The sequence below is a fragment of the Homo sapiens genome, chromosome 17 (assembly GCF_000001405.40).
Source record: "Homo sapiens chromosome 17, GRCh38.p14 Primary Assembly".
Classification (NCBI taxonomy): domain Eukaryota; kingdom Metazoa; phylum Chordata; class Mammalia; order Primates; family Hominidae; genus Homo; species Homo sapiens.
In genome coordinates, this window is record NC_000017.11 from 45,671,783 (window position 1) to 45,699,192 (window position 27,410).

Below are 27,410 nucleotides of genomic sequence, written 5' to 3' on the forward strand. Positions count from 1 at the left end.
TCTTGGCTCTGCTGACCCTGGCCTGGGCCAGGCAGCTCCCTAAGGGCATTGTATTATAACTGTTGGTAGAGGGGCTGCAAGATTGTGGGAGCATCCCCACAACCGGGTTGTGTCCAGAAAGTGTTCCCGCCCCTGCCCTTTTTTTTTTGAGACTGGGTTTTCTTATGTTGACCAGGCTGGTCTCGAACTCCTGAGTTCAAGCAATCCTCCTGCCTCAGCCTCTCGAGTAGCTGGGACCACAAGCACGCGCCACCACGCCCAGCTTTCCCACCCTCTTCTTCATCATTTTGCTTTCCTGGCCACAGGAGCAGAGGCTTTTGTGCCTGGCATCTCACCCCTTGGCCCTCTTCCAACCCCAGCTCCAGCAGCTGCCCCTCACTGTGCCTTTTCGGCTCAGTCCTTGCACAGGTGCAACCTGGAATGGCAATGGTGGGAGGAGGAAGTGGGAGGCAAGAGGAGGGGGATAGGTGCTTCAGCCTCCCGGCCTTCAGGGAGTCGATTCTGATGTGTACTCCACACCGCTTCAGGCCCACTTAAGAACCACCTCATTAACCCTCCTCACCCCCTGATTGCTTCACATGGTTGCCTCCCCGGTTAACCACCTGCATCCAAGTTGTCTCTGGCCCTGCTTCCTGGGAGCTGCACGCTCAGATCGCACGTGACTGCCATCCCCGTGAAGGTGATTGGCCAAAAGATAGAGTGTGTCCCCAAGCAGGGCCAATCAGAATCCTCCCCTGGGCAAACACGAGCTGCTCACGTGTAGGCACTGCGTAGGCTGCAGGTGGTGCCCAGCACGTGGAGGCGGCGGGATCTGGGATGTGCGAGAGAGGGTGAGACCCCTGCGAAAGAAGAGACAAGCAGGCGTGAGAGACTAGGGGAGCGTCTTGGGGTTTTGAGCACCTGAGGCTCTGGTTGCTTCCTTGGGTCTATGAGTCCCAGCTTTCCCAGCCACATGAGGTCTAACTTTCCTGGAGCTGGGGTGAACTGGGTCTGTTACTCAACTGAGAGAGACCAGGCTAAGAGGATGTTTCTGTCTTCCCTCAGGAACGAGGGGTCCCTGAGGGAAAGGACTGGGGCTCCTTCATCTCTATGATCCTAGTGCAGTGTCTGAAGGCATCAGGTACGTCATGATGAATGAATGAGTGAATGAATGAGTGAATGAGTGAATGAATGAATGAATGAAGAAAGGAGCGAACGAGAGAGTGGGTACATTGTGGATATCTTTTGCTGTTCTTCCTCCCTGCCATCACTGGGCCTACCTTCAACAGTCTCTTTTCCTATGAAATAGAAACAAGATAATTAGGCTTTAGATGGTGAAGTATTGCAGAGTAAAAAAACTTGAGTAAATGATTCAGGTCCCTTGTATAGGAGAAAAGGTGGGGCAAAGGAAAGATGGAAACCGAAGGCACCTAGTGATGCACACTCTTGATACATTACTTTAAAAATTTTTGACAACCCCACGGAGTAGGCATTATCCCTGTCTTACAACTGTGTAAACTGAGGCACAGGGTGGTCAAGTACTTTGCCTGAGGTTTTACAGATAGTAATCAGTAGACCCGGGGTTTGATTTAAGCCGTTCTCATAGGTGTTAGGTGGTATCTTGTAGCTTTAATTTGTATTTTCCTAATGTCTAATATTGTTGGGCATCTTCTATGTCCTTATTTGCCATCTTGTTTAGTTCATACTTGTTCAAATTTTTTGTCCATTAAAAAAATTGGTTGTTTACTGGTTGTTTATTGGCTTGCTATTGAGTTTTGAGAGCGTTTTTTTTTTAATTTTCTGGATACTAGTCCTTTATCAGATATACGTTTTGCAGATAGTTTCTTTTTTTTATATTTTTTTAAATTATACTTTAAGTTCTAGGGTACATGTGCACAATGTGCAGGTTTGTTATGTACGTATACATGTGCCATGTTGGTGTGCTGCACCCATTAACTCGTCATTTACATTAGATATATCTCCTAATGCTATCCATCCCCCCTCCCCCGACCCCATGACAGGCCCCGGTGTGTGATGTTCCCCACCCTGTGTCCAAGTGTTCTCATTGTTCAGTTCCCACCTATGAGTGAGAACAAGCTGTGTTTGGTTTTCTGTCCTCGCGATAGTTTGCTGAGAATGATGGTTTCCAACTTCATCCATGTCCCTACAAAGGACATGAATTCATCCTTTTTTATGGCTGCATAGTATTCCATGGTGTATATGTGCCACATTTTCTTAATCCAGTCTATCATTGATGGACATTTGGGTTGGTTCCAAGTATTTGCTATTGTGTATAGTGTCACAATAAACATACGTGTGCATGTGTCTTTATAGTAGCATGATTTATAATCTTTGTGTATATACCCAGTAATGGGATTGCTGGGTCAAATGGTATCTCTAGTTTTTGCAGATAGTTTCTATCAGCCTATAGCCTTCTTCATTTTCTTAATGGTATGTCTTGAAGAGCAGAGTTTTTTTTTATCTTGATATAGTACAGCTTATCCATTTTTACTTTTATGCTTGGTCCTTTTTGTGCCCTGGACCTGGAATCTAAACCCAGATCTGTGAATGTCAAAGTCCTTCTTCTTATTACATCTCACGTAGTGTTGCCTCAAAGTCTATTCTAAGGCCAGTGCCAGGCACCATGAGAGTCACCCAAGGAGCTTGCTTACAACTGTGGAGAATCTGCTTCTATGGGCCTGGGTAGACCTGGGAACCTGCATATTTTATAAACTCTCCAGGTGACTGGGTGATCAGCCAGGTGTGGAAGGGGCTCTAATGCAGGGACCCTGACACCCCTGAGCCTTTAGACCTGGTGGCTTCTTGGCCTCTTTTCTCCTCTCCTCTCCTCTTCTTTTTCTCTCTCTCTTTTTTTTTTTTTTTTTTTTTTGGTGGAGTCTTACGCTGTCACCTAGGCTGGAGTGCAGTGGCACAATCTTGGCTCACTACAACTCCACCTCCTGGGTTCAAATGATTCTCCTGCCTCAGCCTCCCGAGTAGCTGGGATTATAGGTGCGCGCCACCATGCCTAGCTAATTTTTGTATTTTTAGTAGAGACAGGGCTTCACCATGTTGGCCAGGCTGGTCTCGAACTCCTGACCTCAGGTGATCAACCCGCCTCGGCCTCCCAAAGTGCTGGGATTACAGGCATGAGCCACCACACCTGGCCTTCTTGGCCTCTTTCTAGCTGCCTCCTGTAAAGTGCTGGTGATGGTGACATTTCTAGGTCTGTTTCTTATGTGTCCCTTCCCCTGCCTTCCTCCCCAGCTCCTTAACACAGTATTTGACATTCAGCAGATGATGAAGACATGCTTTTAAACCAAGCGACCCACTCTCTACCAGTAGAGGCGAGTGGCAACCTCACTCCACAGCTGGCACTAAGCGAGCCAAGTAGAAACCATATAATTACTGACCTTGGTTTAGAGTGCTCTCCTTTAGCTCCTTCCCTCCCCAGCCGTGGGCGGCCACTTAAGCCGGTTGCCTCACCCTCTAGCCCAGCCAGAGGCTTCCACACCTAGAGAAACTGTTATTTTAAAGTAGCTCCAAGATTGGCTCACGGAGTTGAAAAGGACACTTGTGTAAGTGAACAGCTATGGCAGCCTCCAAATAAAAGAAAACTGGATTAATTTGGAACAGGGGATGGGAGTGGGGAAACGAAGTGTGTTTTGGCTTAGGAGCAAAACAAGCATCTAGAGGTTTAGCAACTTTCTCTGGCATGTCAGATTGTGACATGTCATAGGGTCAGAAGTGAATGCTGTAGGGTGACAAAGATGGTCACCTGCTTTCCCCCAGCCAACTGGGACTTCTTGGGGAACAGAAATGATTTCCTTCCCCCACCCTCAAAGGGAGCAGCAATAAGAAAACTAAGATCTATTGCCAGGGTTTTATATTTTATTTAATCCTTCCAATAACCCATAGGGTCAATATTATTCACATTTTTCACATGGGCAAACTGAGGCTCAAGAGGTTATAAGGATAGCCAGGATATGCTGGAGCCAGGATTAGGAATGTAGCAGAGGCTGAGCCATGTAATAAAGAGGCCTCAAAATACACTGCTTTAAAGAATGTTGACAGTTATTTCTTCCTCATAAAACATCTCCAGGTCAGTAGGAAAGCTCTGCTCCAGGCAGTCACTCAGGGACTCAGGATCCTGCTATCTGTGGCTTCACAGGTTTCTGGAATTGGGGTCAGCAATCTTTTTCTGTAAAGAGCTCGATTGTATTTTAGACCATGCAAGGCACGTGGTCTCTGTCCTGACTACTCAACTCTTGTATTGTGACAGTAGACATAGACAATATGTAAATCAGTGGGCATGGCTGTGTTTTAATAAAACTTTATTTACAAAACAGGCTGGATTTTTGGTTCAAGGGCTGTAGTTTGTTGATCACCATCCTAGGAGGGTGGTTCTCAAAGTATACTCCCAGGGAACTAGCAGTATCAGGGTCATTTGGAAACAGAAGTACAGCTTTTGCGGTGAGTGCCAAGGCCCTACTGAATTAGAAACTCTGGGGTTGAGACCCAGTGATGTGTGTTTTAACAAGTCCTCCAGGTGATTCGTATGCATGCTGCGGTTTAAGCATCATCACTGTTATGGGGTCCTACCTCTCAGCCCTGGCTGCATCTGAGCATCACCTGGAGAGTTTTAAAAACTCCTAATGCCTGGGCCATATCTCAGGGCCATTACCTTGGACTCTCTAGGGGTGGAACCAGAACTTTTAAAGCTGCCTGCTGATTCCAGAGTATTGCAAAGCACTGGCCTAGAGCGGCGTTATCACTGGTGTGGTTAAAGCTGGCTTGCCACCTGGCTTCCAACCACACCTGCTTCTCCAAGGTGGGGCACCCAGTGCTCCCTGAGATCTGGGTTTTGGTTTTTTCCTTTGTCTTATCCCCCAACCCCCTGGCACCCTGGCTCCTTCCTAGAAACTCTCTATGGGGCTTTGTGATTAGGGAGGACCTCAGTTCAAGTTTGTCGACTAACCGATCTCTGGTTAGGAGTGTTGCAATACGGGGTTGGGGGGATGACCTGTGCGGGTGAAGGAGTGTGGAATGGAAACAAACCAGGAGAGGAAGGAGGGAGGGGAGAGAGCAGGAGGAGGACTTGGATGTAGAAGCACCTGGCACAGTGGCATGTCACCAAGATTCAGTGAAGGCCAGTTCCCTTCCCCGCCTTTTCCTCCCCAGCTCCATCCAGCACCTGGTAGGTGCACAGCCTTCTGGAGGGAAGGGAATGCTATAGGGTGACAAAGAGCAGTCCCTGGGTGCTGCCAAGCCTTCCTTTATACAGTGAGCACTTAGCGTTGACAGTGTGCCTGGTAGTACAGTTGTCCCCCAGTATCTGTGGGAGATTTGTTCCAGGACCCCCATGAATACCAAGATTATCAGGTGCTCAGATCCTTTAGTATTCTAAATGCTTTATATGAATTAATGCATTAAATCCTCACGGCAACCCGGAGGGTAGGCACTGTAATTACCTCCATTTTACAGATGGGGAGCTGAGGCTTTAAGAAGTTAGGTGACCTGCACATGGTTACACAGGTGGTAAGTGGTTGAGCCAGGAGTCAATTCAGGAAGTTTGGCTCCAGAGCTAAGCTCTGCTGTCTTCTCTTCATAACTGCAATGGTGGCCTTTTTTTTTTTTTTTTTTTTTTTTTTTTTTGAGACGGAGTTTTGCTCTTGTTGCCCAGGCTGGAGTGCAATGGTGCAATCTTGGCTCACCACTACCTTTGCCTCCCGGGTTCAAGCGATTCTCTTGCCTCAGCCTTCCAAATAGCTGAGATTACAGACATGCGCCACCACGCCTGGCTAATTTTTTTTTTTTTTTTTAGCAGAGACGAGGGTTCTCTGTGTTGGTCAGGCTGGTCTCGAACTCCCGACCTCAGGTGATCCACCCTCCTTGGCCTCCCAAAGTGCAGGAATTACAGGCGTGAGCCACTGCGCCTGGGCCCGTGGTGGTATTTTTATTCCCATTTTACAGATGAAGAAACTGGGGCCATGCAACTTGCTCAAGATCACAGAGCCAGGAGGTGGTAGAGGCAGGACTCGAACCCAGATCTCCCTGCCAGCAAAGCCCTTGGATTTGCCAGCTTGCCCCACAGCCTGCATCAGGTTCCCCTCCCTTCTTCCCTCCATCTGTCCACCCAGCTTATTCTGGGTTTGCACGTGTGGGGCTGACTCATAGGGAGCAGGAGAGCCCATCCTCTGGAGTGAGAAGGCAGATTTTATTTCTGTTCAGAGCATCTTGGGCTGGTGCTGGGAGAGCTGCCAAGCCCAGCTGACACATTTTCTTCTGCCAAGGCTACTGAGTGGGTAGGCAGCCCCGGGGGGCTCTAGAGGGCCCCAAGACACCAACTCCTCAGATGTGTCTCAGCACCTAGGGGAAAGATGGGGATACCTGCTTCCTCTGCCTTAACTGCCATCTCTTTCCCTAAGGGAGTTTCCTGGGGCTAAAATTCCAGTTGCTAAAATCTTCCTCATTTCTCTGCTCTGGTCCAAAGCTGAAAGGAACCCCAAGAAGCCATTTGTTCAAGGCTTTTGCTTTTAGGCAATCAAGGTAGTCCTGGTTGTTCCCATTTTACAGATCACAGAAGCCAGCTGTGGTTCTCACTGGCTTGTCCTCCTTCCCGTTAGCCCTATGATACTTCCCAAATGTCCTTTTTCCTATCAGATCATTTCTCCTATCAAATGAGCATAAGAATCCCAGGGCACTTGCTAACTTTCTGGATCACCTGTCCGCTGCTGTAAAAAATTAGGAAGCAGTCGGTTAGAGCTGGGGCCCTTTACCAGATGCAGTGGCTAATGCCTGTAATCTCAGCACTTTGGGAGGCTGAGGCAGGTGGATCACCTGAGATCAGGAGTTGAAGACCAGCATGGCCAACATGGTGAAACCCCATCTCTACTAAAAATACAAAAATTAGCTGGGCGTGGTGGTGGGCGCCTGTAATCCCAGCTACTCGGGAGGTTGAACCTGGGAGGCAGAGGTTGCAGTGAGCCGAGATTGCACCACTGCACTCCAGCCTGGGTGACAGAGTGACACTCCATCTCAAAAAAACAAAAAAGAGCTGGGGCCCTTTAACAAGCACTGCAGGTGACTCTCATCATCTGGGATAATGGGAAATACTGGCACACAGAGACCTCCCAATGGGTGCCAGGATTCTCCCCCACTTAAGGTTCAAACCCCGACTGACTGTCTTAGCTGTGCCCCAAATTGTTACAATTGCCCCCCGCCTCTTGGATGAGTCTTGTGGGTTTGGCGGCTCATTCCCCTCCAAGCCCAACTCAGGCCATTAGAATGGGGCTGCAGGATGGTGTGGTGTGCCTGCATCCCCCACCCCGCCCACCCTTGCCCCTGGCCAGTCCTGCCTTATCCTCCAGGGGCTGTTCGCTGAGGATCATGGAGACCTTGGCAGTGTCCTCAGATCTATGGCTATCTTAGCCTCACTTCAGCCAGACACGCCAACACTCAGGGCTCCCCATTTGCCAAGGGTCCCTAGCCCATTTGTTTCTGTTCTATGTAAGAAAAGCCAAAAGTCACTGGAGAGGACATTTGTTTCAAGTTGTGATGGTTTCATAATATGTCTAAAAATTCGTTGAGCCTCCTTCCTGAAGTGGCAGAGCCTAATTTTCCTCTCCTTGAGTGTGGGTGGACTCAGTGACTTCCTTCTAATGCAGAAAGTAGAAACAAGAATATGTGACTTCTGAGACTAGGTCATGAAAGGCACCATGGCTTCCTTCTCTTTCCTGGATTACTCACTGCAAGGGAAAGCCAGCTGCCATGTTGTGAGGATACTCAAGCAACCCAGTGGAGAGATGGTGAGAAACTGAAGCCTCCTGCCAATAGCTAGCAAAGAAACGAGGCCTTTTGCCAAGAGCTGTGGGAATAAGCCATCTTGGAAGCCGAACCACCATCCCCAGTCAAGCCTTCGGAGAACTGCAGCCCAGGCCAATGTTTTGTCTGCAACCTCATTAGAGACCCTAAGCCAGAACCACCCAGCCAAGCTGCTGCTGAATCTCTGATTCACAGAAGCTGTGAGATACCAAACGTTTGTTGTTTTAAGCTACTAAGTTGTGGGTCATTTTTTAAATGCAATGATGGGAAACTAATACACAAGTCAGGAGCCACAGCCTTCATCGACAAGCTGAGTGGGTAGGTGAGAGGACTGAGGCAGGCGTGGTACCCAAAGACCTGGACAGAGAACCAGCATTTGTCAGGATGGAGTGCAGTGCTTGGATGTGTGTCCTTCCATTTACTGTTAGTGCTATTACCCCTGTTGTCCATGTCAGGAAACTGGGGCTCAGATAGGTCAGGTCATGTGACCAAGGTTGCCGAGCTCATCGGTGGCACAGCCAGGATTTGAGCCCAGTCTGTCTGCTCTGGTCCATACTTTCCCACTCTTGATGCTGTCTTGATGATCTCAGTGATTTTTGGGCAAGACCCACCGCTTTTGGGGCTTGCATAGAACTTGAGCCGACTGCATGCATATTGATGAGAAGGTTGAACCTGGTGCTCTCTGGCCCTGGATTCTCTAAGTAAGGTGTGTGAACCCTGCTCTCATAGCCTTTGCCCTGTAGGGTGCCCCAGGGTAGGTCAGCTCTGTCTGCTAAAGATCTAGTGAGCCAAGGATGAGGATGTGACAGCTTGGCTTTAAGAGCTCCTGTGCAAACGTGTAGCTTCCTTCAGCAATACCATCTCCTGATTCTCCCTCACAGACATGTGTGCCCAGGTCTGTTTGCAATGACACCAACATCACCCCTGCCCTTGGCCTTGCCCCTCTCTTCACCTCCGTCCTGATTCCTGCTCTGTAGCCACACAGATGCCAACAGCTGGCACTTGTCCAAGAAACATGTGCTCAAGGTCAGGTGCAGTGGCTCATGCCTGTAATCCTAGGTTTTTGGGAAGCTGAGGAGGGAGGATTGCTTGAGGCCAGGAGTTCAAGACCAGCCTGGGCAACATGGGGGTCCTTGTCTCTACTAAAAAAAAAAAAAAAAAAAAAAAAGCTGCACATAGTGCCATGCCTATGGTCCCGGCTACTTGGGAGGCTGAGGCAGGAGGATTGCTTGACTTAAAGAGATTGAGGCTACTATGAACCATAATCATGCCACTACACTTCAGCCCGGGTAACAGAGCGAGACCCTGTCTCAAAAAAAAAAAAAAAAAAAAAACAGAAAAAGAAACGTGCTTGGGGTAATGCATGTTGACTCCATCTTGTCACCCAGAGCTCAGCAGGAGGCACCTTCCTGGGAGAGTCAGATCAGGAGTGCACAGGGCTGGACACAAGCACCTGGGGCAGCCTCGGGAAGCTACTGCTCAGCGGCATCAGAAGATCCTGCCCCTCTCCCGGGGCCTGGGGCATTGCACTTGGCATCTGAAGCCCTTCCTCCACACCCCCTTCTGCAGGTGGGGGCAGAGCCCACTCTGGGATGCCTCCCTCTCCACAGCTCCATGCTTTGATGGGACACTCCCCTGCCACCTCTCTCCCAACCACAGCTTCTACCATAGCCATGGCCAACAGCCTCCATTAGCCTGTGCTTGCAGGACAGTCGAGGGGCTGCCTGGAGCCTCCTGCAACTCCACCCTCATCCTGCTCCACCCTCTCCCTGAAGAACCTCCACAGGCTCTTTGGTCCTGTTTGTGAGGAACCTGGCCCCTCATCCTGCTATTCAGGGCCCTCCAAGCTCTTTCCTGGGCCCTACACCGCACCATCCCTTTTCACAGCAGCCTCTTCCTAAGTGGTTTGAATTTTGGGTCCCCAGGCCTCCTCAAACTGAAACCCCATCTGTAGACACCCTGACTCCCCTCCACCCACCTCCCACACTAGAAGTAGAGGAAAGGCAGATGGATGGGGTGTCTGCCCAGCCTGAGGGGCAAGGTGTGGGGACAGGCAGGGAGGGCAGGCCCCAGGATGGACAGATGGACAAGGCATCTGGCTCTCCCTTTTCCTGAATGGCCATGGGAGGAATGAGGTTGCCACCCCATGCCTCTCACAGAGATGCTGTGAGTGTGAATGAGAACAGCTTGTGAGGGGTTCTGACAGGCATAGCCTGGTGCGGAGACCTTTTGTAACCTTCCGGACCTGGCATTGAACCAGAGGACGGATCATGTGACCCATGTTGCTCGGCCCTTTTAGCCTTCCCGGCTCATGGCTCACATCCCAAATACCCTCACGCTCTGCAGGCGCTCTTAACCTGGGGAGGGGTATGGATTTGTTTGAGGGTAGGAGATGCATTGCCTGTCTTAAATCTACAGCTGTATGCACAAATACTTTTTTATTTTTTTCTGGAGTGTTTGCCGCTTTTCAAAGGCTTTGCGAACCATAAAATGGTCTAACTAACTTGGTACCAGCTTTCCAGTCTAGGCCCACCTGGATGTTTACTCCCAGCAAATCTGGTTTCCAAGCTTAAGGGCTGTCAGCATCCATCCTGATGAAGCACTCGCCTCTTCACTTTGAAATTCTAACACCTAACCTGCTTCAGGGAGATCTGAGATCAGATCGGCACAGTGGGTACATCCTCTATCCTTCTCCTCCTAGGCTGACCTCAGTTTCCCTGCATCCAAATGGATCAGTGTCGGGTTACAGCTACACTCCAGGCTACTGACAATGTTCCCAGTGACAGGTAAATCTCCATCCCATGCAAACATCTTGCATCTGAGCAGCCCCTTTCCAAAGATGTTTTCTTTTGTTTCAAACACGAGGGCTTCTGCCTTGTGCAGGAGTTTTAGTGTGTTTCCCAGAACAGAACTCAGCCTCCTAACCTTAAGTATAAATAGGGTTGTTCACAAGCTAATGACTCTGATCATGGCAAGATGACTTCTATCTTGATCTCACCTAAATTCCTCCTCAATCCGTCTTTAACCTGAGGTCTGAAAGCTGACCACAGCATGTTCACAAAAGCTAAGCAGCAAAGAGAAATGGCTTCCCCAAAGACTGTCCTATCCCAGTACAACTTTGTCTTCTTCTTATTATTATTTTAGATGGAGTCTCGCTCTGTCACCCAGGCTGGAGTGCAGTGGCGCAATCTCAGCTCATTGCAACCTCCTCCTCCCGGGTTCAAGTAATTCTCCTGTCTCAGCCTCCCGAGTAGCTGGGATTACAGGTACCCACCACCACGCCCTGCTAATTTTTTGTATTTTTAGTAGAGACGGGGTTTCACCATGTTGGCCACACTGGTCTCGAACTCCTGACCTTGCGATGTGCCCGCCTCGGCCTCCCAAAGTGCTGGGATTACAGGCATGAGCCACTGCACCCAGCCATTTTTTTTTCACATATAATAAGTTCCTGAAAATGTCTAAGAATATAAATGTATCAAAGTTAGATAATAATCTTACACTATGCAAGAAGGAGGAGAGCCTGGCGGTTAAGAATGTGGACAGTGACCTACCTACACGGGCATAAATCTGCCACTTCCTAGGTGTGTGGCTGAGACCTCTCTGTGCCTCAGTTTTCTGAAAGACGGAATGATTATAGAAACCACCTTATAGGGTTCTTGTGCAAATTAAGTAATATATATATAAAGCGCTCAGAACAGGGTCGTATGCACTGAATATGTTAATAATTATTATTTTATGTTTTAAGGTGGATTCTATACTCAGCTAAAAATAATGACAACTCCCTAATTATATTTTGCTTCTAAGAACATTGATCACTTATAATTTATTTCTAAGGCCTTATTTTCTGGCTGAGTGCAGTAGCTCAAGCCTGTAATCTCAGCACTTTGGGAGGCTGAGGTGGGAGGATTGCTTGAGCCCAGAAGTTTGAGACCAGCCTGGGCAAAATAGTGAGACCGCCATCTCTACAAAAAAAAAAAGTAAAAAGTTAGCCAGGTGTGGTGGCACAAGCCTGTAAGTCCCAGCTACTTGGGAGGCTGAGGTAGAAGATCACTGGAACCCAGGAGGTCAAGGCTGCGTAGGCCATGATCATGTCACATCACTCCAGCCTGGGTGACAGTGAGACCCTAAAAAAGAACAACTATTTTACCCCTCACACATGAATCCAGTCAACCAACTTGAGTTAAATGAACACTGGGCTAAAATGAAAACAACTTTCATTTTTTATTTTTATTTTTAATTAATTAATTAATTAATTTTTTGAGACAGTCTTGCTGTATTGGCCAGGCTGGAGTGCAGTGGCACGATCTCAGCTCACTGCAGCCTCTGCCTCTCAGGTTCAAGAGAATCTCCTGCCTCGGCCTCCCAAGTAACTGAGGCCACAGGTGTGCCACCATGCCCAGTTAATTTTTGCATTTTTTAGTAAAAGCCAAATTTTGCCATGTTGGCCCGGCTGGTCTCAAAACTCCTGACCTGAGGTGATCCTCCCGCCTCAGCATCCCAAAGTGCTGGGATTACAGGCATGAGCCACTGTGCCTGGCCTCATTTTAATTTTAATTATATTAACTTTTTGAGACCCTTTCTTGTTTATTACCTAGTACCTATACTTTAAATTTTCCATTTTTGCTCATTTTTACTATCAATAAACACAACAACATATTCAAACAATTGCATCAACAGGCTATACAATATGAGCCAAGTGGAATAGAGATACTTCAAAAATGGGGCTGCTGGCTGGTAGTTTATGTCACCTCATGACATCCCAACATATTTGCCAGTGGATGTGAAAAAGTCCAGATTTGGTGAAGAAAAATCAATTTAGGAATGTCAAAGTCCAAACCTATAACAGTGGTGATGGTTCAAAAGCCAAAAATCCTTGAGGCTGGGACGTATGTCTGGGTTCATGTCAATGATCTTGTTGGAAGAGCAATTTGTTACCATGAAGTAGGAGACAGATAGTCTTCACTTTGATAACAGACCCATTCCAAGAGAGCTGGCTATAAAGAAACTATTCATAGTGTGAGTCACATTTTTTTAAAAATTCCATTATAAAACTAAGACGGTCTTCTAAAGGAAAATGGAGAGCTTTGAAAAGTTTTGGTGGATAGGGCCAGGTCTTTGTCATGCTGGGATTATGGTGAGAGAGATTTGAAAGCACTTTTAGTAATTGCTGTTCCTTCCTGTAGCTGAAGCTTCAAGGGGAGCTTCTTTTCTTTTTTCTTTTTTTTTTAAACACAAGTTTCCACTTTTATTAGTTTTATATAATGATGCACCAAGGTTCGTCTTGGGCCTCAGAATTTAGCTAATGTATGTGTTTTCTTTTCTTTCTTTTTTTTTAAATTTTATTATTATTATACTTTAAGTTCTAGGGTACATGTGCACAACGTGCAGGTTTGTTACACATGTATACATGTGCCACGTTGGTGTGCTGCACCCATTAACTCGTCATTTAGCATTAGGTATATCTCCTAATGCTATCCCTCCCCACTCCCCCTACCCCACAACAGTCCCCGGTGTGTGATGTTCCCCTTCCTGGTCCGTGTGTTCTCATTGTTCAATTCCCACCTGTGAGTGAGAACATGCGGTGTTTGGTTTTTTTGTCCTTACGATAGTTTGCCGAGAATGATGGTTTCCAGCTTCTGGAAATACGGTGAAATTTACGGCAGACTGCCTAAGTTTACAAGGAGCAACAGATACTCCAGGCTACCTCCTCAGTGTGGCCTGATCCCTCCCCCTTTTATTCTCCTAGAGAGTGTCTCACATTATAGCTGATAACACTCACTAATGTCTCCATTTCTTTTTTCTTTTCTTTTCGTTTTTTGAAGACAGGTTTGTTTTGTTGCCTAGGCTGGAGTGCAATGGTGCAGTCATGGCTTATTGCAGCTGTAATCTCACAGACTCAAATGATCCTCTAGCCTCAGTCTCCCAAGTACTTGGGACTGCAGGCATGAGCCACCAGGCCCAGCTAATTTATTTTTATTTTCATTTTTGTGGAGACAGGGTCCCTCTATGTTGTCCAGGTTGGTCTCCATCTCCTGGGATCAAGCAGTCCTCCTGCTTTGGCCTCCCAAAGTGTTAGGATTACAGGCGTGAGCCCCCGCACCTGGCCTTCAGTTCTTTTTCACCACATTTCATTGTGTCCTTTTGCGATTGGGGTTTAGATAGCTAGAGGTGGAGTTCTTTACTTTCCTGACAGTTAGGGTTTATGCAGTCTTGGTATGCTCCCTTCTTTGATGGCTACATTCTGGAAGCTGGGGAAGACGCGTGTAAGCCTGAGCAGTATGTCTGGCACCGAAACATCAAGAGAGCCCTGATGCCACCCGAGGCCTTCACATGTTGACGAGATGGCTATGTATACACAAGGGCTCCTGCGGCGGGCGGAGTGGGGGATGCCATCACCAGATAGAACTTCATAAGACAAAACATCAAATTCCTTCCTTCCCCTCTCTTAGTAATGGTCCGCCCTATTTAATCCTGGGATGTGAGTTCTTTTGGTGATGGGGGTTTGCTGAATTGATAGGGAATGGTGCCAGTGGTTATGTCCGAGTGGCATTGAACCATAGAAACATTTCTGAATGTTTCTTCTATTTCTATCCCCTAATCTTTTCATGCCACTAGGCATGTGAGGCCAACATGGCCTTCTAAGCTTCTACAGTCAGCCTGGCTGCCACTGTCCCTGCATGATTTTGGCGACTCTAAGGAAGTCCCAGAGACCAAGGAGAGTCCAGTCTTGTGGTCCTGGCCAGAACTGAAATTTCACCATTGACTTTGTCATCGTGCTGTGTGCTTCTCCAAACCACAAGGGTTCCTCCTGCTTCCGGGGGCCTCAGCTCTATCCTTGCAGCTCTCGTGAGCCTCAAGTTCTCATGCAGTTTTCAGATTAGGTGGTTCCAGGAACTCACACCTATCTCCTTTCTCCTGTGCCATTGTCAGAGATGACAGCAGATCATGTTCCACAGTGGGAATGGCCAGTTAACATATGCAACACTTCCCTTTGAAAGCACCTTAAGTGGAGAATTCTAGAAAATAAACCAGGCTGGGCATGATGGCTCATGCCTATAATCCCAGCACTTTGGGAGGCCGAGGTGAGAGGCTGCCGAGGTGAGAGGCTCACGAGGTCAGGAGTTTGAGACCAGCCTGACCAACATGGTGAAACCCTGTCTCTACTAAGAATACAAAAATTAGCTGGGCATGGCGGCACACACCTGAAATCCCAGCTACTCAGGAGGCTGAGGCCGGAGAATTGCTAGAACCCGGGAGGCGAAAGTTGCAGTGAGCTGAGATCATACCACTGCACTCCAGTCTGGGTGACAGCAAGACTCCATCTCAAAAAAAAAAAAAAAAAAAAAAAAGAGAGAAAAAAACTTGCCCACTTTCATCAATCTTGGAAGCTCAGACCTTAGTAAAATTTATTTATTTCAAAGAAGGTGCAATAAAATTGTTCAAGCCCACTTGGAAATCCATTGTAAGAGGTGCTGGCATTTTGAAAAATCATTTTGCTGATTGCGAGAGTAATACATGCTCATTGCAAATAATTAAGAAAATACAAAAAGGTACATAGAAATAAAATCTCCCAAGATGTTACCTCTCAGAAATAACCATTATTAGCATTTAATATGCCACTCCTTTTTCTGTGCACAGCAATTTATAAAATTACATGGTACTTTATCTACAATTTTTCATCTTGCTTTTTTCACCTTAAACAACCAGAACATTCTTCCATGTCATCGTCTACTCTTCAAAAACACCGTTTTAATGACTACATAATATTTCATTGTCTGGTTGTACCAGGATTTATTTAGCCAGTTCTCTATTTGCAGGCTTCTAGGAGGTTTCTTATTTTTCATGATTATAAATGATGCTGCAGTGAATATTCTTGTCCAGGAAATCTTTATCTGGGTTTCTGATAATTTCCTTAGAAGAGATTCCAAGAAGGGAAATTGTGGAGTCTCAATTCTGCTGGGTGTTACCTGTCTCCTATGGATGCTCAGAAAGGCGGAGTGGCTCCTGTTACCCTGAGTGGGTAGCATTTCCTGCCGCTAAGGCCTCCTAAAGGCCTAGACCACACAATTTTTATTCCTGCTGGGGAGAGATGGAAAAGGGGCCCCTGAGCCTCCCCAGACAGATCCCAACTACTCACCTGAACCTGCTCCGTACAAAGCAGAGCATCCCCCTGCAGGACTCATTTCATAATTAACTTAGAGACTAAAGCATATTTAATTAACCATGGAAACCCTCCCAGCCATCTGCCTCTGTTTTTATTTTGAGGAAAATGGCAGATTTTTTTTTTTTTCCTTAACTCCCTCTTTTTGGGGATGGAGCTCATTTCCAGCATCTTGGTTCTTGTATAGAGCTGGGTCCTCTCCCCTGCTGATGGCCACTCCAGAGTGTCAGAGTCAGGGGTTAGCTTGAGGTGGGAGGCTGGGTGAGAGGTTGCACAAGGGCCTGGGCTTGGCCTCTAAGGCCAAGTCCCTGCCTGGGGTGAGCTCAGCCAGGCAAAGGTGGCACCCATGCACTACAGTGTGGACCTTCAAGGACCTAGCCTCAGACTCTTGGCTGCTGTCCTAAACTTACAGGGCTGCAGAGAGGGGCAGAGCTCAGAGAAAGAAGCCAACACTCTCATTCCACAGGTGAGGAAACTGAGGCCCAGACAGGCTCCAGGTCAAGCCTGAGCACAGAGATTTTCAGGCCCCTTGTTTGCTTCTTTGTTGTAGCCTCAAAGGAGTGGGGACGGCTTTGATTTCACTGCACTCCAAGGTCAGGGGATTTAAACGGAGTTCTGGGGGCTGTAACAGCCCACAATGTTGGAGCACTTTGAAATGTGCAAAACGCGTTTGCAGATCACATCTCGCTGAATACTCAACCCAGGCTCCAGAGACTCCGGGGTCACGTGACATGCATATAGTCACACAGCTGGTGAGTGTTGAGGCTGTGATGGAAACGAGAAGTGCTTTGGTCTGAATTCCCAATGTAGCAGAATGGCTTTTGTTCTCACAGTATTCGTCAGAGGCCCTGGACTGGGAACTCATAGCGGAAAGGCCTGAAGGAATATTAGTCCAGTTATTTCTAGTGACATCACCTCCTCCAGGAACCTTTCCTGGGCTATCGCCCCAGGCTGAGTTGGGAGGGAGGGCTGGATCTCTGACCTTTTATCAACCCCCACACACCACAGCATTATACCCTAGGGCGCAATACTTCATGCTATACTCCAGGTTCTAGCAAAGGGTCTGGCTTATACTAGTTGATCAGTAAGTGGTATTGAATTGAATGAGATCAAATGTGGACGCCGGTGTAATTGCTTCAGCGCCTCACTTTTCCTTCCCTCAGGAGGTCATCTGAGAGCTCTCTCGGGGTGGATGTCACATGTGCTTTGGGATGGTCCCCAAGGGCTGCCATATGGACCGATCTATGTGCCAGGCTGGCCATGTGCCCCGGATCCTGGAGCTGTCAGAAGGGCTGGAGATCTAGCCCACAGACCCCGGCCAGGTAGCATCACCTTTAATAGATGTGTGGCCAGGCCTGGCAGGGGACTGGGGACATCTGCCACCTGTGCTTTTAGTAAATCATGCCCACCCTCTGAGACTCATTTGCTCCTCTATCAGATGAAGGCAATTTGATTGGACCCTTCCAGCCCTGATGATCCATGTCCTATGACTTTATAATGTCCCCAGGCAGGGGCCAGGAGTGGCAGAGAACCAATCCTCCCTCCCAAATCAGTTTTGGGGGTTAGTCCAGGAAAGCTTTCTGGAAGAGGAGATCTTAGAAATAACTGGACTAATGTTCCATTGGACCTTTCCTCTGTGAGCTCCCAGTTCAGGACCTCTGATAGGGACCAGGGCAAAAAGACGGAGAGTCAACTCCAGCCAGAAGTCAGAAAGCTGGAGCTGCTAACCAAGCTAAAATGTATCCTGCATAGAAAAGACAGTAAAGTACCAGGTTTCCTGGAGCCACTTTAATGTTCCTGCCAGGCTGAAAATCTCTCTCCTTTTAAGATATAAAAGATTTGCTCCCTGACACTCATCTTCAATCATTTTCTGTCTCTCTTCAGCCACTACAGCCTGCATTGAAGGCGAGGGAATCCACGGTGATGAATTAGGCATCTGTAGATATTTCTCCAGAGCTGCATCTGTTAAACCCAAAGCAGGTCTTGGCTCCACTGAAATCAAATTCAACATGAAAAGCCCTCAATGTGGAGCCCTGGGGCACCCCCAGCCCAGAGCCACGCTGCAGCCTCCCCCTGATCCCCGCTCCGTGGCACATCGCACATCACATGGGCCACCTATTCTGTAAATTACTGTAAAATTCTAGTAGAGAACTTATCTTTTTTCCTATCAAGAGAATGACCTACAGAATGAAAAAATAATTCAATGGAGGAAGATGAAAGTAAAATGCAGCTTCATTCAGGGAGCTTTTGGGAGAGAAAAATAGAAAATGCCTCTGTCATTTGCTTTTAAAAATCAAGAATGGGGAGCATGTAACTCTCTCCAGTAAATACAACTAGTAATACAAATGCTCTTTAGTTGTATGCTGTGGCCGGTTCTTGGAGAGAGGCTGAAGGGGAAGGAGGAGGAAGGGGCTCAAGAAGTAGGACAGGGGGAGAGAAGCAGCCAGAAACAGGTGACTAGAAAGAAGGAAAAAAAAATCAAAACTCCGTAAAAGAGAGGGCATGAATGACAGTCGCAGGCAAAGCAACACAAAAATACAGACAAAGAGAAGCATGCACACATCACAGCCCAGCCACTTGATAGGAGAGAGACGGAGATGGGGAGGCTAGAGGAAGAGAAGCAGACACAGAGAGGGACATGGGAGGGAGACAGGCGAAGATGGGCTCAGCAAGCAATACAGCTATTTAAAAACAACCAACACCACAATCGAGGCTTGTTTTTGTTTTTAAAGAAGCAAACATTATCAGAATTATGTTTTCCCAGCATTACTTTTTAATGTGTTTGCATTCCTGTCCAACTTTGAGAAGCTCAGGCATTCTTAAAAATCCATTCTCCTCATTTGCCACCCAGAGAACTCCTCGTTAACAGTTCCCGGCAAGGAGATCTCACACCTCGTGCTGTAACCTTTTCAGATGATGCCGCTGAAAACCTTAAAGTACTGTTGTGTTTTCACAGTGCTGTTGTGTTTTCACGTGGTCACACCTCTCTGTGCAGCTCTATGGGTGCCTTTTGCTCAACCCCATCCCGCCTTTGCAGAGACCACAGATTCAGAATCGAGGATGATCCAGCCAGGGCCAGAGCTGACCATTCCATGCTGCTTGGTGACAAGGTTTGCTCAGCAAATAAGTAATGAAAATAAGATGACAGCGGATGTGTAGAATGAATGAAAAGAAGGAGTGCCAGGCCCTCCAGCCGCATCATACCCAGTAAAAGCTTCCCAAACCTGCCAAGCGCTCTCGCACCTCGCTGCCAGAAACTCCTCTTTCCTCCCCTGCCTCTGCTGTGGGAAACCCTTCCCACCCATCGTTCATCAATCAATTCATTGTATTAAGCATCTCCTCTGGGAATTTTTTCCCAACCCTCCTCCTCCCTGGGGGTTAATCGTTCCTTCATTTGGCTTCCTGTCTTGCTACCTCTGCCGTAGGTCTTAGCATATTTCATTAGAGCAAGATTTCTCAACCTTGCCCTGTTATTTTGGGCCAGATACTGCTTTGTTGGAGGGCAGGGAGGGGCTGTCCTGTGCACTGCAGCTTTAGCAGCATCCCTCTCCTCTGCCCACTGGATGCCAGCAGCCCCACTCCCCTGGTCGCAACTACCAAAACAATCTCCAGCCGTTGCCAGATATCCCTCAAATCACACCCAAAGACACCAAGTGAGAGCAGTTGTTGGGGGTGTCAGCCTCAGAGACAGTGTGGCCTCTGGAGTCTCAGTGTTAGAACAGTGGATGGCATAGAGGAAGCACCTGGATTCTGTAGAAGAAGAATCCGGATGCTTGGACTCTGCCCGTGGGTGGGTAGATAATGAACTGGCCAGTTGCACACGAGCCATGTTGATCGTTGAAACAGGAGTGTTGGTGCATTAGGTCCAAAAGCAAATCCACCAGTCTATTGAATGATGTGTGGGAGACACAAGGAATAAGAAAGAAAGCATCTCTGTTTAAGGCTTTTGTGATCTAGTTCATCAGAAAAGGCCTGTAGCCACGGGACGCTGATGTAAGAATAACGGGCAGTTTGTAATGAGTTCTGAAGCAGTGCAGGTTCCTCTACATGGGTTTAGGTATTTAGAAAAGGGGAAGCCAGGGTGGGCTACTTTTCCTGTGGAGGGCCTAGGGGGCTCCATGGAACTTGACCAGGGCCTTTAAAGATGGGATGGACTTGAGGTTGCGGGGTGAGTGTGGTGTGGCTTACAGCAGAAAGTGTTTACTCCAAGGGGCAGATCCAGCCAGGCCCATAAGTTGGGTCTTGATGCTAGGAGGCCAAGTCTCTTCAAATATGTCCTGAACAGCCTGCAGCAGGGTCGCCTGGGGTTGCTGGTCATAAATGCAGATTCCTGAACCCCCCAGGCTTAGTGACTTGCTATCCCTGGGGTGGGCCCAGGACCCTATTCTGTTTTTTTCACATGCCCCGCCACCCAGCTGATTCTGATGCTCTGTGAAGTTTGAGACCCATTTCCTTGTGGTTGGTGGGGAGTGATTGAACAGTCCTGGTAATAAACTTGGCCTTCCATTGTGTGTAGCCTGTAGGGTTGACTTGGTCCAGCAGAGCAGTTAAGTACACAGGTTGTAGTGCCAGGCTGCCAGGGTGCAAATCTTGGTCCTGTCATTTCTAGCTGTGCAACCTTGGGCCAGTCACTTGAAATCTCTGTGCCTCAAACTTTTCATCCATAATATGGGGTTAACAAGTCCCTACCTCACAAGATATTTGGGAAAATTAAATTAAGTCAAACATATAAATGCTTAGCATGGAGCCTGGCAGATAGTAAACACTCACTCATAAATATAAGTCATCACCATCATCATTATTTTAGCATTTGAGGCTTGCAAAGAGTTTGACAAAGCTGAAGTCTCCTTTATTAAAAATGTGGTCTGTCATCCATGGCCCTCCTCTGCTCCCCTCAGCTTGCCTCTAGTTCCTCCAAAACCTGAAGTTTAATTGCCTGAGCCCTTCTCCAGGAGGAAGATGGACCCTGAGGTGCTCTGAGTGGAGGAGCAGTGTTGGGACGAACAAGGGAGTGTCCCTGGCAGTGTCAGGCCCCTCCCAGTCTTTGGCTCGGAGAGGAAACACTTCTTGCCTCCCCAGCCCTGGGATGGACATATTGGAGGCCCAGAACATCCTTTTGCCACTACCAGATGGCCGTGCCACTCCTCAGCAAGTCTCTCCCAGAGGGAGGCCTGAGCCAGGGCAGAAAAGAGGGAAGAGCAGAAAACAGCTCCGTCTGTGGCAGATGCCATACCCCAGTCTTCTGGTTTTTTGTTTTGTTTTTATATATTTATTTATTTTTTTTTTGAGACAGGGACTCACTCTGTCTCCCAGGCTGGAGTGCAGTGGCATGAACTCGGCTCACTGCAACTTCTGCCTCCCAGGTTCAAGTGATTCTCTCACCTCAGCCTCTTGAGTAGCTGGGACTACAGACGTGCACCACCATGCCTGGCTAATTTTTGTATTTTTAGTACAGATAGGATTTCACCATGTTGTCCAGGCTAGTCTCAAACTCCTGACCTCAAGTGACCCACCCGCCTCGGCCTCCCAAAGTGCTGGGATTACAGGCATGAGCCACCACACCCGGCCCATATCCCAGCCTTCTAAGAGTATAATGTGGCGTTCAAAACCTGGCACACATGCCTTCCTTAGAGTCTTACAATGACCCCAGGAAGTGGGTGGGGAGGCCTTGCCCACCCATTTACAAAAATAACAGCTTTTTGGAGATAAAATTTACATACCATAAAATTCATCCTTTTGAAGTATACAATTCAATGGCTTATAGTATATTCACGGAGTTGTGCAGCCGTCTCCTCTAGCCAATTTTAGAACATTTCATCACCCCCTAAAAAGAACATTTTAATCACTCCCATTTCCCCCTCCTTCCAGCCCTTGACAACCACGAATGTCTTCTCTGTCTCTATGGATTTGCCCACTCTGGACATTTCATATACAAATGGATTCATGCAATATGTGGACATTTGTGTCTGGATTCCTTCACTCAGCACAGTGTTTTCAAGGTTCATACATGTCGTACCATGTGTCGGTATTTTTGTTCCTTTTCTTTTTAGTACTTTATTCCTTTTTATGGTTAAGTAATATTCTGTTGTATGGACATATGACATTTTGTTTATCCATGCATCTGTTGATGGACATTTGGGTTCTTTAAACTTTTTGGCTATTATGGATAATGCTGCTATGAACATTCACATACAAGTTTTTATATGGATGTACATTTTCATTTGTCTTGGGTATAAACCTAGGAGTGGAATTGCTGAGTCATAAGGTAACTCTATGTTTAAACTTTTGAGGAATCACCAGATTGATTTCCATGGTGGCTGCACCATTTATAATCTCAAAAAAAGGGCATAAGCATTCCTGTTTTTTCCATGTTCTTGCCAGTACTTATTACAGGTTGAGCACCCCTAATCCAAAAATCCCAAATCCCAAATGCTCTAAAATCTGAAACTTTTTGAGTGTTGACATGATGCCATCAGTGGGAAACTCCCATGTGACCGCCTGCAGTCAAAACACCATCAAAACCTTGTTTTATGCACAAGATTATTTAAAATACTGTGGAAAATCACCTTCAGACTATTTGTATTAGGTGTGTATGAAACATAAATAAATTTCATGTTTAAACTTGGGTCCCATCCCCAAGATATCTCTTTATATATATGCAAATTTTCCAAAATCTGAAAATTTTTGGTCCCAACATTTCATGTAAGGGGTACTCAACCTGTATCTGTCCTTTTGATTACAGCCGTCCTATTGGGTGTGAATTGGTATGTCATTGTAGGTTCACTCCTTATAGATGAGGAAATTAAGGCTCAAGAGGCAAAGCAACTTGGCCAAGTACACTCAGATAGCCAGGGGCAAAGCCAGAATTCAAACCAGACACATCTCACTTCAACATCCATTTTCTTGTTTTCCTCTTACATCAGGCAGCCCTCCAGCTGAATGATTTTTGTCTGTGCCTGGCCCAGTCCCTGAGTCCAAAGTGGTTTTTAGGATTCACATCGGTTACAGGACCGGGCCATGGTCTGCCCACCTGAAGCTGACCACCTGGTCACTGTTCACTCTCCCAGCCAGTCTGCCGGCCAAAGTCCATTGAACGCCTACTGTGTGCCGAGCTCAGGAGCTGTAAGTAGATTAAGGACGGCACAGAGCCCACTCTCAAAAATGGACTGATTGCTTTTAATGTGTCTCATCAAATGAAAGATGAAATTTTAGACTCTAGATTTACACGGTGCCAGAAAAGTGCAGAAAGCTGACCTGGGAGGAGAAGTGAAAAAGAAGAATGGCAAGGGACCCCCGGCTGGAGAGTTGAAGGGCGATGGCCTGAGCCAGTTTCAGAAAGATTTGGTGCCAATGCTGAGGGCCATGGCCAGGAAGAAGAGGACCACGTTAGAGAGGTAGGTTGGAACTGCTTTCAGGGATGGGGTTTAGCAAGAAACTGAGGAGCAATTAAGAGGGAAAAATAAAGGAGTCAGAAGGAGGAGGGGAGAAAGAACAAGGGCTAATCTGTGTAATTATACAAATATACAGCTTCCATTTAGCAGGCCTCTCTGAGGGGCAGGATCTGTGCTGAGCGCTTTGCATACCCTGCAAGGTACATTGTTAATATTCTTATTTTATAGACAGGAAACTGAGGCTCAGAGATATTAAGTGCTTTCGCCAAGGAATACAGTTGGTAACATTCAATCAGACTTTAAATCCTATTCTCTTAACCACTCGAACGTCTACTGAGTGAGTAACCAAGGGATGCTTATGAGGGAACGTGCCGTCAGGGGTGCTGGAAATAGGAACCAGGCTCAGCTTTCCCTCTGGAAGGCTGGTATTTTTGGAAATAGAAATGCTTTGGAGCTAATGGTTTTTCCTGTAATGGTTTCAGCCTGTTTGGGGTTTTCACGCTTCAGTTTACAGTCTGAGCCACTGGTGTGTACTCATTTATTCCTTTTTACAGGAAAAAAAAAAACCCCAATGAATTTTTGATCAAATTGAGCTTGACTATTTGACCAGTGAATCAGAAAGTCTTCCAAGTCTTAGGAAGGAGGTGGAAGTGAAGATGGAAAATGTATACCCATCTCTCTTCAAGAAGGTAGAGTGAGGGAGGCCCCTCCTGGGGGTTCTGGGACAAAAGGAGTGGAAATTAAACCCACAGGCTGTCTGCAGCAGGATCACCAAGCGCTCTAGGTCATTGCGTCTCTCAGGGGATAGCAACTGGTCAAGATTCTGCTGGTACATCAAACATTCAGCTGCATGATGATGGTCTAGACCAGGGCAGCACATTTTTCTATAAAGAGCCAGATAATTGTAGGCTTTGCAGGACACCTATGGTCCCCATCACACATTTGTGTCTTCCTCCTTCCCCTTCCTCATTTCCTTCTCTTTCCTCTTCTTCCAGAAGCATTTAAAAATGCAAAAAAAAATTAAATTCTTAGCTGGAGGGCTATACAGAAAACAGACTATGGGTCAGATTTGCCTGATGGCCATAATTGGCCAACCCCTGGTCTAGATATCTTTTGGAAACTAACTTGGATGAATTGCTTAACTTTCTGGAGCATTATATAATGTATCTATTGAACACCTACTGTACACATAGCTTCATACCAGTTGCAATAGAAAGAACACAAAGATAAATGAATGAAGAAGCTTTGCTGTAGCTGCTGTGGGTGTAATGTAGGGGAAACAGCAGCAGACCTAGAGCCAGAAGACTTGGATACCAAGCCTACTTCAGTCCCTGAAGAGCCTGCAGAGCCACATCTGTAAATGGGGAAAATAAAGCATCCTTTGCCTGATTAAATAAGCTCAGGAGTAAAGTCATTTTGAAAAGCACTACATAATAGGAACTATATTTAGAGAGTTGAGGTTACACATGCCTATGAATAGTTGACTCACAATATAAAGACTGTATAAAGCTATGATGTCAGAGGTGTTAAGAGAGAAAAGAGATTGACACACTGTCATATAGGACTCCCTATGCCAGGTACTCTCACCTGTGTTAGCCTGTGAGTGATTTAGGCAGTGTACCCATTAGAATTGGGTTTGGCTGCTTCCTACAGGAAGCCCAAAGTAAAAATGGTCTAACCAAGACAAAAATATAACTCTTAGCCTGGGCAATAAAGTGAGACCTTGTCACTATTTTTAAAAATTTTAAAAATAGCCAGGCATGGTAGTGCACACCTGTGGTCCCAGCTACTCAGTAGGCTGAGGCAGGAAGATGGCCTGAATCCAGGAGTTCAAGGCCACAGTGAGCTTATAATTGTGCCACTGCACTCCAGCCTGGGTGACAGAGTGAGACTCTGTCTCAAAAAAGAAAGAGAGAGAGGGAGAGAGAGAGGGAGGGAGGGGAGGGGGGGAGGGGAGGGGAGGGAAAGGGATGCTGTCATTTGAAGTGGAGGTATGCAGTCCAGAACGTGGAGAGCATCCCCACAGTGTCAGGAACCCAGGGTCCTTCTCCTTTGCTCCATTATCCTTGCATGTAACTCCCATTCAACAAAGACATCTCATAGGCCAAAATGGCTGCTTGACCTCCAGCCATTACATCTGCATTCCAGGCATGTGAAAGGAGGAAGGAACAAAGAAGAAAGGGCTAAAGGACATATGCTAGGAGCCTTTCACAAAAATGTACTGGAAGCTGGCTCCAAATACTGCTCCTTATATCTAATTTGCTATACTTAGCAACAAAAGAGACTGTGAAAACCAGTCTTTATTGTGGGTGGCCATGTGCCCAGGTAAAACTACAAGGTTCTGTTTTTAAAGAGGAGGATAATCAACCCTGGGATAAGCAACTAGCTATGGCTATCATAGGTAACAAGTTCATAGAAAGACAAAGTCAGGGAAGGCTTTATTAAGAGAGTGAGATAGCATGGCTTGAGGAAATGAGTTGGAGGTCTGGAGGGAGATAGTGGGCAAACTAGTCTAGTCTAGACTACTCTTGTAGAGGAGGTTTCAGGTTTTAATGCTGGAAAAGATACTAATTAAAATAATACTATAACCAGTTGGGTACCCTACCACCTTGGGTGATGCACCACCCCTTGATGACTTTGTGACTCCTCAGAAGCTCCTCCCCTCCTCCCCCTCCTCTTCCCCTTCCTTCAATATGTCACCCACACAGCCTTCTTCTGCTAGGGCTGCCACTTCCCAGGAGGTGGTCCTCAGGTCTTCCTGAGTGGGTCCCTCAATGCAGCTCAAGCCCATCCACCTTCCCCTGCATCTCCCAGTCCTTGGAGAGACTTGTATCTTTGCTGCACTAAACTCTACAAGTGAGGATTGTTTCCTGCTCAGTACTCTCTTTCTCTCAGCTGTAGACACAGGCTGCTCCAGTTCTCTTGACTTGAGACTCTTTGGGAGGTGACTGGTTGGGCCCTAGTTTCTGTGTTCTTCCAGCTCTGCGGGTTGCAGGTCAGGTTCTTCCCTATATCTCTCATTCCAGCTCCATGACGGCATCCAGCCAGTGGAACACCCACAGTTAGCTTGGGGAGATGGAGATGGGGAGGCCCTGGGTCATCCCAGGCCTCACTACTAGCTGAGAAGTCTAAAAATCCCCACCTCCCTCTAATCACCTCGATGAACCTCTAGCCTTCTCTTTGGCATGGGCTAAGGTGTAATGGGGCAGGGGATGCAGAACCAGTGAGGGACCATTCTCAGCAAGTCCCAACTGGATGGTCTGGCATCTCCCTTCACAGTGTGTGGGCAATTCACACCTGAAGTTCTCAGCCTTGGGACCTCAGAGGAGATTCTAAAACAACAGGGCAAGCCCCTGGTGAATGTCCTCTTAAATATATTCCATTTATTGACTTCTAACTATGTGTCAGGCACAACTAACCCACTACCAATGAAGTCTTTACAGGTAAAGAGACTGATGATGGTGGAAAGGCAGGTGAGGACTGGACGATTCCAGAAAGAAGTCATGAGAAATGAGGCCAGGAAAGAGAGGTGGAGGCAGATGGCAGAGGCTTTAGTGCGGGACTGAGAAGCTCTGACCTTCTCCTGTAAGTGCAGGGAACCATCGAAGGATTCTAAGCATATGTGACGTGGTCTCAGTTGTGGTTTTGGAAACTATCTCCAAGTAGAGTGTGGGAAGGATTGGAAAGAGAGGGCCAAATGTCTTTCCATTAGAGCGTGAGTCCTGGGAAGCAGTGGAGAGGGACTGGGTATGGGGAAAAGAATGAGGAGGAAGAGGAAGGAAGATATAGGGGAAGAGAGGAAGGAGAGGGGACAAGAGAAGGAAAGGGGAAGAAGAAGGGGGAGGAAGAAAGCGAGGAGATTTGATTCCTCTCTTCCTCTCTTTCCTGTCCTCTCCTCTCCTCTTTTTTTCTTTTCTTCTCCTTTTTTTTTTTGAGACAGAGTTTCACTCTATCGCCCAGGCTGGAAAGCAATGGTGTGATCTCAGCTCACTGCAACCTCTGCCTCCTGGGTTCAAGCAATTCTCCTGCCTCAGCCTCCTGAGTAGCTGGGACTA

General features: G+C 47.1%; 1 protein-coding gene across 2 annotated transcripts in view; it reads left to right on the forward strand.

Moving 5' to 3' along the window:
* LINC02210-CRHR1 (LINC02210-CRHR1 readthrough) overlaps positions 1–27,410 on the forward strand; it is a 215,483-nt gene that overhangs the window by 51,437 nt on the left and 136,636 nt on the right. The window contains exon 3 of one of the 2 annotated variants that reach the window (NM_001303016.1): positions 1,045–1,120. The exons of the other annotated variant lie outside the window; for it this stretch is intronic. The gene's annotated coding sequence lies outside the window, so the exon portion shown is untranslated. The remainder of the gene's footprint in view (positions 1–1,044; positions 1,121–27,410) is intronic. 2 annotated transcript variants of the gene reach the window in all.